The 8,902-nt window shown below is 50.8% G+C and overlaps 1 annotated feature.

The window, feature by feature from the left end:
- Window positions 960–1,019: an enhancer, noted in NCBI's record as "active region_16516". NCBI's record gives its function as "activates an Ori minimal core promoter by ATAC-STARR-seq in GM12878 lymphoblastoid cells {active_cell/tissue: GM12878}" and the evidence as "EXISTENCE:reporter gene assay evidence [ECO:0000049][PMID:35858748]".

Here is an 8,902-nt window from a genome sequence, read left to right on the forward strand (position 1 = left end):
ACCTCCCAGAGTTCTTGTGAGAATTAAAATGATGAACAAACGAATGCAAAGACAGAGCCAGCAGGGGAGTGTCTCCCAAAGGGGTGCTTTGCTAAGGATTTTAGAGAACCTGGTGTGCTGCCTTGATGCTGGTGCCCAGGGGCTCGCTGCCCACTGCAGTGGTGTGGTTCCTGTACCGGATCTGCCCTGATGGTAGAACCTGGCCCTGCCATCCTCAGTGGATGTCTGTTGCAGATGCCACAGACCCAGAAGCATGCCTGGATGATACGGTGGGCTGGTGTGTGACAAAAAGCATTTGCTAGGCACAATTAAGCCGGCTGAAAACTGCAGAAGGGGCAACTAACCTAATTAACAAAGCAGCATTAGTCTGAGGGCTTTACAGAAATTAATTGTTGTTATACAAATGCTGAGCTAATTGAGAATAGGTCTGATTAATTTATCAGAGCAGGTCCTCGTGGATCCGCCTTAGAAACACTATCTTGCAGGCGGCTCCAGCCACAGGGATCTTTACATCACCAGCACTGGTCTCCCCTTCCATAGCTTAACATAGTAGCTGCCTTTCCGGGCTTGCTTTATTTCCACCTTGCCTGTTAGTCTGATGCAGGACTCTTGGGCTCTTGGCTGTGATGGGAAGAAGGTTCTGGAAGCAGCACTGCAACTCTGAGCTGGCTAGATCTCAGAGTCAAAACCAGACGACACTGCCGGTGTCTTTTTCACTTCGCTGCAGTGGTCTTAGATTTAAAAGCCACACACATCAGAACTAGTTTCTGATGGAATCAACTCATTGAGTTGGAAAAATTATAATTTAACATTACATGGAATTTAAAGTCTCTATTACACATAGCGGATGCACAATCAAACACGGTTCATTCTTGCCTCCCCCTCTCCCCTGCCAACTCCCCCTCCTAAGTGATGGGGCAGACAGCACAAAGGGTTCTTGAGTTTTGAATGTTGGGAGTGTGTCTGGAAGCCTTGTTTTGTTTGCAGCAGTCGTGGCCGCACCTGCGGGCCCACACCTTGTGGGCAGTTTCTTGGTGCGCGAAAGGCGTAGTGCACCCAGGTGCAGGGCTCTGCCCTGGCGCCCTCCTGTGACAGTGCCGGGAGCGGCGGGGTGCGGGGCACCGCCAGCTGTGGTCTGTCCCGGTGACTGGTTTCTTCTGAGTGTCTCAGTTCTGCAAGCCATCGTAGCAATGGGTCCTGACCGTGTCTCTGAACTGTCTGGCAGGCGGGCAGTGTGTCACCCGCTTCCCTGGTGGTAAGTGCGGCCAGGAGGATGCGGCCTGTGGATCCTCCCCGGACCTGTGAGCAGCAAGCCTGGGACTGAATCTGTCTGCATCGTTAATCACCGATTTGCTATCTCTTCCTCCACAGCATATCACTCCCTTTCCTCTGGAGGAAAAATGCCTCATGATCTAAAGCTGAAGGCATCTTTCATAATGAAGTGCTTCCTGTGCTGATTCATGCGTCCCCTTTGCCCTCGCGAGTCCCCTTTGACATCCTCCACACACAGAGCGCGACAGGAAACGCGTGTCCTCTGGTTAAGCCACGCTGACTTCCCTGAGGGTTTGGTACCACAGTTAGCACTTTTTGGATGAGGAAGATGAGGCTGAGAAGGGCGCCCAAACCGACCTCCCGGCTGCAGGAGTGTGCGGCCTGAAGGGAACCCCGGGGAACTGCGCAGGCTTTGGGAACCACGCAGGCCGGGTGCAGACGCAGCTGCCCTGCCAAGTAGCACGTGCTCCTGGGAGAAAGATTGCCCTGGGGGAGACACTCAGCCCAGCCCTCAGGTGAACGGACCAGGCCACCAGGCCAGTGGGGCTGAGGGCGGGGAGCCCTGAAGAGGAGAAACCCCGGGATCAGATCTGCATTTTGGGACTTCATGGCAGGGAGGGGCACGGGTAAAGACCCACACGGTGAGGTGGCTGCTGAATTATGGTCCTGAAGGTTGACACAGAGAAGCCAGGATGGGAACAGGGGCTGGAACTGACAGACTGGGATTGCGCAAGGAGAGTGAGGATGAGGGTGACGCACTCGAGGGTGTCCTCGGACCCCAGAACATGATATCCAAGCGCGGGGCTTCCACAGACAGCATGAGTGGGTTCTGTGCAGTGAGACTTTCAGGTCGGAGCCTAGGTGTGGGCGCGGAGGGGCAGCAAGGCCCTGGGGACCCGGCCCTCCCTATCCTCACACACCGTGGTCCCCAGAAGCCTTTTGCTTCACGCCAGCTGCCCCAGGGTGCAGGATGGCCCCCGCCTTCCGAGGTCTTAGGTTTAGGAGGACACAGAACGGAAGGAGAAGGAGGGGCTCCTTCTGGGGGGACTCTTCCTTTTATTCTAGAAGCAGCGCCCTCCTCAGGGGCATTGGCGTAAAAATCATTGGCTAGGCTATTTCACGGCCACCTCACTCCGCCAAGCCCTAGGCAAACGGGAATCTTTACCCGGCCATATTGTGATTCCGAAGCAGCTTGGAATTCTGTCATTAAAGAGACACAAGAAGGAATTCTGTATAACTGGCCGTGTCGGCTCCTGGGGAGGCCACGTTGGCTCGGGCTAAGTGTTCAAGATGGTGTGGTGCAGTGAGTCAGGGGCCCTGACCGGGACCACCCGTAAGTTAAGTGGGGCGTGTGGTCTTCAGGGCGCACAGGTGGAGATGCCACTACATGGTCGCATGTGGGTGTCCACAGTGCAAGAGAGGCCCTGGGCCAGAAACCCAGCCCTAGGCTGTGCCTGTCCCCTGGCCATCTCTGGCTCGCCCTCCCTCCTGCCTTTTCTCTGTCCCTGGGGATGGTTTGCAGGCTCAGACCGCATGTCTGGATTGGCAGTCTCATTCTGCAGGCTCTGCAGACCTAGAAGAACAAAATGCTACCAAAGGAAGGATGCAATTTATCCATACAGAGGCTAGTTTGGACATATGGGAGGAAGTCTGTAAGGGTAGTTGCTTGTCTCTTTTGGATTTCAAGGGCGAATGGAGCCCGGATGCTGGCAGCCCCTCCTGCCCAGCGCCTTGGTTCCCGGGGAATTGAGCCTTGGCTGCTGGCTCAGCCTCCTCTGAAACCAGCAGCCCAGGGTTGCCTTAGAAACATGGCCTGGTGTGGCAAAGCCTATCCCGGGGTCTTTCGTGTTTGTGTCCTTTGAAGCCTAATTTAATCGGTTCCAAATTCTAGAACAAGAGTTCTCTCAGGGTAGCTGCAGACGTGCTCCACCCTCATCCTCCCACCCAGGAGAACCAGCGAGCTCTGGAGAGCCGCCTGCAGTTCTCCCTGGAGCCACAAGATGGCGCCAGGCCGACCGTCAAGGCCGTGGAGCCGGGGAAGAGGGGAAACGCGGGATTCTGGAGTCCCCAGCCCCTGGCCGAATCGGCTTCTGGTGCGGCCGCGTTTGGGGCCGCGGCTCCACCCCCTCTGGCTGGCCAGTAGCCTTCATCATGGGGGACGTGAGCAGACCGAGTGAGAGCTGCCATTTTTCTGGGTGTGGGCGGACAGTTGTGCAGGCCCATGTTATAGACAGAGAGACTGAGGGCGAGAGGCGCCGCCCGCCCGGGGAGCCGACTGCGAAGTGCAGAGCCGTGGTCCCCCGAGGTGTCCGCGCGGCCGCCTCCGGGCGGGGGTCCCCGGGCGCCTTCAGGCCGGGTCTGCTGCGATGCGGCGCCATCCGCGTCCGGCTCCTGGGGCCTGCAGACCTTCCGGGCCACTCCTGGAACCGCGCCGAGACCCAGGCCAGGGTGCTGAGAGCCGCATGTCGCGGCCACCAGGGGTGTTCCTGAGGACTCCACCGGGCTCAGACGAGGCGTCAGGCGGGGACGGTGCGGATGAGCGCCTGTTGAGGCCGGGGCTGGCCAGGCAGGGACAGGGAGCACAGGGAGGACACACAAAGCCGACAGCGTCAGGACGGATCTGGGGAGCAACGTTGCTGTCGCCGTGTGGACAGGACACCGACATTAGCGTGGCATTGCTGGGATGCGGTGTCTCCTGGTGAAGGGAGGAGAGTCCGCGGTGGACAGAGCACCCAGCCCAGGAGAGCCTTGGACACCGCTGGGAGGCTCAGCCTGAGGGTAGCGTGGAGTGGCCAGAGGGTTTCCGCCGGGAGCAGGGGATACCTGGGCTTCTATTTCAATACTGTGCTAACCTGAAGCCCTGAATCCTCCCGGGCCGTCCCTGGAAACCCCGGTCCATGCCCACACCTCCCTTTCTGACTCCTCATTTGTCTGTGCCAGGCACGCAGGACCCTAGTCACAGTTGTATTTGTCCCTGCACTTTCTCTGCAGAAATAAGGTAGGCTCCTGGAAGTAGGGAGTCAAATGTGTCCTGTGCCTCTCTTAGGCTTCTGGGAACCCAGGCTTCCACATACAGTAGGCCTTTAGTTGTTGACCGAAACAGATGCTAGATGCTGTTTGAATCTGCCATGATGGCGCACAGTTTTCCAAAACTCGTCCCTTAGGGCTGCAAAGCCCTGAAATGCAGCAGAGGAGAATCAGAGAGCTTAACTGGCGCAGCTCCCATCTTGAGCACTGCCTTTGTAATTAAATGTCAATTATGATTCATTCAGAGGAAAATCAATTGTGCTACTTTCATAAACTTTTATTTGGTTATTGAAAGGCAAGATTTCTCTAATCAGTTTTTCATTAAGTCAGAGCTTGATTTGCAACTGGAAGCTTCCAAAGCCCTCCCGTCCCACTGCTGTCCCTCTTTGGCCTGAAGAATGTGACCGTTTGGGGTGTGACCCTAGGTTCATATTGCATCCGTGGGTTCCCACACAACCCTGTAGAGCATCCAGACCCACTGCTGCCTCTTTCAGAGCCAGTGTAGACAAGGTCATCTTCAGAGCACTGAGCCTCAGTTTCCTCATCTGCTAAATGAAGGAAGTCTTTAAATGAGGTAGTGGATATGAAGATAAAAATGCCTGGCTCTGGGCCTCACAAATAGATGCTCAACAGATACTAGTTCCTTAGTAGATTTTAGTTTCCTTCCTGCATCCTTGATTTCTGCCTGGACTCTTCTACTTTAAGTGGGGCATTGTGCAGTTTATGGCCAAGAGCCCAGAATGTAGAACTTAGCACCTAGAACTTTGGTGCAGCAAGGCTGGGAGTCACACACCACCTCCCCAGCCCCAGCTTGTCCCCCACAGAGCAGGCCTGCATCTCTCCACCGACCTCGGAGCATTTCCTGGAATCTGCTCCCCAGCTTATTGTGATTTCTAAACATTTACTTTAATGCTTGGATTAATTTTTCTGGTATGTGTGTGTGCACAGGCCTGCAAGTATGTATGTGTACATGCAGGCATGTCTACTGCATGTTGATGCCCTGCCTCTGGAAAAAGTCTGGGGCACACACCATTGCACGTCAGGTAGGGGAGAATTGCCTGAAGGAGAGACGACCATTGCACCAGTGCAGGAGGACTTGGTGGCAGCCCTATTCCCTCTACTTGCTCCTGCTACGTATGAGTTCCCAGTACGTTTTAGCCAGCAGCCTGCTTTGCCGCCATCACTTGCTCCCTGTAGCCTGGGAAATGTTTGTGGCTAATTTTCAGCTGACCGGCAGACTCTGAAGAGGGTGGCCATGCTACTCAGTAGGAATACAGTCTCAAAAAGAGGGGGAGCAGGGCTGCCAGAGTGGGGTGAGGTCTTGCCAGACAAAGGAAAGAAAAGTGCACAGGAAGGAATCTGTGCAGCAGCTTTTCTTCAGGTAAGCCAGACTAATCCCTGAGATCTCAGGCTGAGGGACCAGCACTTTAGAAAACAAACTTGCAAGAGCTTAGTGATGGTTAATGTTGGCTTGTCCCACATTAGCTTGCTGAAGATGGGCATGTATATACCTCCTCTCATTGCCCACCCAGGACACCCCCAGACCTGGTCTCCCAGATTGCCTCTCTCCACCCCTCCAGTTTATAGTCTCCACCACCTCCTACTTGTGCCTGTTCCATTCTTGCAAGAGAAGTTTCTCAAAAGCCAGCTCTATAGCTACTCACTATTCATCACCAAATGTACTTCCCAAGAATAATAACTACACTTGTTGAGTGTGTTAGGCCATCCTTGCATTGCTATAAAGAAATACCTGGCTGGGTAAATTACAAAGAAAAGAGGTTTAATTGGCTCATGGATCTGCAGATGCAAGAAGCGTGGTACTGGCATCTGCTTCTGGTGAGGGCCTCAGTAAGCTTACAATCATGGTGGAGGGTGAAGGGGAAGCAGGTGTCTCACGTGGGAGAGTGGAAACAGGACAAAGAGATGGAGAGATGCCACACACTTTTAAAGAACCAGATCTCAGGAGAACTCACTTGCTATTGTGAGGACAGCACCACGCCATTCATGAGGGATCTCTCCTTGTGACCCAAACACCTCCCCCTAGGGCCCATCTCCAACACTGAGGATTCCATTTCAACATGAGATTTAGAGGGGACACACATCTAAACCATATCACTGAGACTCTACATTTTTATGTACCCAAGAATTCTCTCTGGTTACAGAGCCACACGGCATGTGATGGAAAGGACATAGGCTCTGACATCATAGACGTGCAGGTACCATCCCATCTGTCATTGCCAGCGGGAGAGATCTTGAACAAAATGCACAACTTCCTCATTGCTTATTTTCTTCTTCTCCAAGCCAAGGATTTAGATCAAGGTGAATAACCATAGGCACCAAGCTCCCCTCCTACATCCAATCACTGGAAATTATAAAATGTATTTTGCAAAGAGACTAACTACATGACATTGATGGGAAACCAAAGGATGTCATCAGTGATACAGATGTTTTGATGAATGCCTATGGGAGAGAAGATAGTTAGAGCCAGATTACGGAAGAAAACTATGCATAAGAAGGCCCTAGTGTATACTTCTGAGATCTGGAGCAAATGTGGAGAATGTCTAGGAGCCCTTTAGCTAGGAATTCAAACAACAGATACAAGAAAGAGGAGAGAGCCTGGGAGTGCCATTGTGGTGAGCAGGCGAGGAAAGTGTGAAAGAAGCACTTAGGGGGATGGGGAATAATCTCTTTTCCCAGCAATTCTTGCCAAGTGGTGACAAGTCAGTCATTTGGCCCCCAGCAGGCCCGTGAGTGTGGGGGCTCTATCTTAAGAGGCAGGAGCTTTCCTGGAAGGCTGGGGACACTGGCACATCCTACTTGGAAGCATACCCCATTGCTGCCTTCATCCTCACCCTTCAACACCCTCCATGATACTCTCCAAAGACAAGAGGGGAAAACTTACTAGACCACAAACAAATAAGACCTCAAGAGAAGTATGATTAATAACACTGGAGAGATCAGAGAAAATACTGCTTCCATGAAACAAGAACAGATACATATGAAAATAAATGATAAACTGATGGTTTTGGAAGTGAAAATTTAATAGATAGGATGAACAGTTGAATGGACACAGCCGAAGAGCATTGGAATGACCTGGAGACTCGGCATAAGAAGTTTTGGAGACCAAAGCACAAAAGGACAGAAGGATGAAATATAATTTAAAAAAATTTAAGAGCTAAGGAGGATGGATATAAATTTTCCAGTTGTAAAACATGGCTCAAAAAAAGAGCAAATGTTTTGTGACCTGTGCTCTGAGTGTGAAAGGGTGTGTAAAAAAGGTAAGCAGGAAGAAAAAACCCCACACTTGGAGACATCAGTGCGGAAATTCAAGCATGAAAAGAAAACCTTTAAAAAACATGAGAAAACTTAATCTCTAAAGGAATAAGAAATGAATTGAGGTATCCAACTTGTCCTTGGCAGTACTGGATTCAAGAAGATGTTGGAACAGTATCTCTAGAGTTTGAGCTGAGGACACTTATAACACTATCCTTGGCCAAACTCTCATTCAGCTGGAAGGACAAAACAAAAACAGTTTGACATGCAACTATGCGGAAAGTTTACCAGATTAAATTCTCTAGTAAAATGTGAAATGTATCCTGAGAAGACATGGCAATAAAGAAAGAATGGTAAGCAAAGAAGATATTAGAACTTAGAGTTCAGTATAAAAAATAGTTGATTGCAAAATAACTTCTCATATAGAATGAAAAGGAGTTGATTTTCTCTAGATATTAATAGAACAAAATGTACAGTGTTAAAAATTTGTGTGACTGCTAGAAAATAGAAATTGGGTGAATAAATTCTGAATCCCAAGAAAAGGAAAAATTTGACAAAGAAAATGGGTTTAATGGCTGGGCGCGGTGGCTCATGCCTGTAATCCCAGCAATTTGGGAGGCAGAGGTGGGCAGATTACCTGAGGTCAGGAGTAACCAGGAGTGACTAGACTGGCCAACATGGGGAAACCCCATCTCTACTAAAAATACAAAAATTAGTCAGACGTGGTAGCGAGCACTTGTAATTCCAGCTGCTTGAGAGGCTGAGGCAGGAGAACGGCTTGAACCCTGGAGGCAGAGGTTGCAGTGAGCGGAGATCATGCCACTGCATTCTGCATTCCAGACAGAGCAAGACTCTCAAAAAAAATAAATAAATAAAATGAAAGAAAGAAAGAAAGAGAAAGAAAGAAAAAAAGAAAGAGAGAAAATGGATTAAAGACAGGAATAAGAAATGGAAAAACAAGAAAAACTTGTTAAATAGAAAACATAAAATAAGATGACAAGGGCTGGGCACAGTGGCTCATGCCTGTAATCCCAGCACTTTGGGAGGCTGAGGTGGGTGGATCGCCTGAGGTCAGGAGTTCGAGAGCAGCCTGACTAAAATGGTGAAACCCCATCTCTACTAAAAATACAAAAATTAGCCGGGTGTAGTGGTGGGCGCCTGTAATCCCAGCTACTTGGGAGGCTGAGGCAGGAAAGTTGCTTGAATCTGGGAGGTGGAGTTTGCAGTGAGCAGGGATCGCGCCATTGCATTCCAGCCTGGGCGGCAGAATAAGTGAGACTGTCTCAAAAAAAAAAAAAAAAAAAAAAAAAGACAAGAATAAGCCCAAGCA

This window comes from Homo sapiens, chromosome 2, assembly GCF_000001405.40.
Source record: "Homo sapiens chromosome 2, GRCh38.p14 Primary Assembly".
Lineage (NCBI taxonomy): Eukaryota > Metazoa > Chordata > Mammalia > Primates > Hominidae > Homo > Homo sapiens.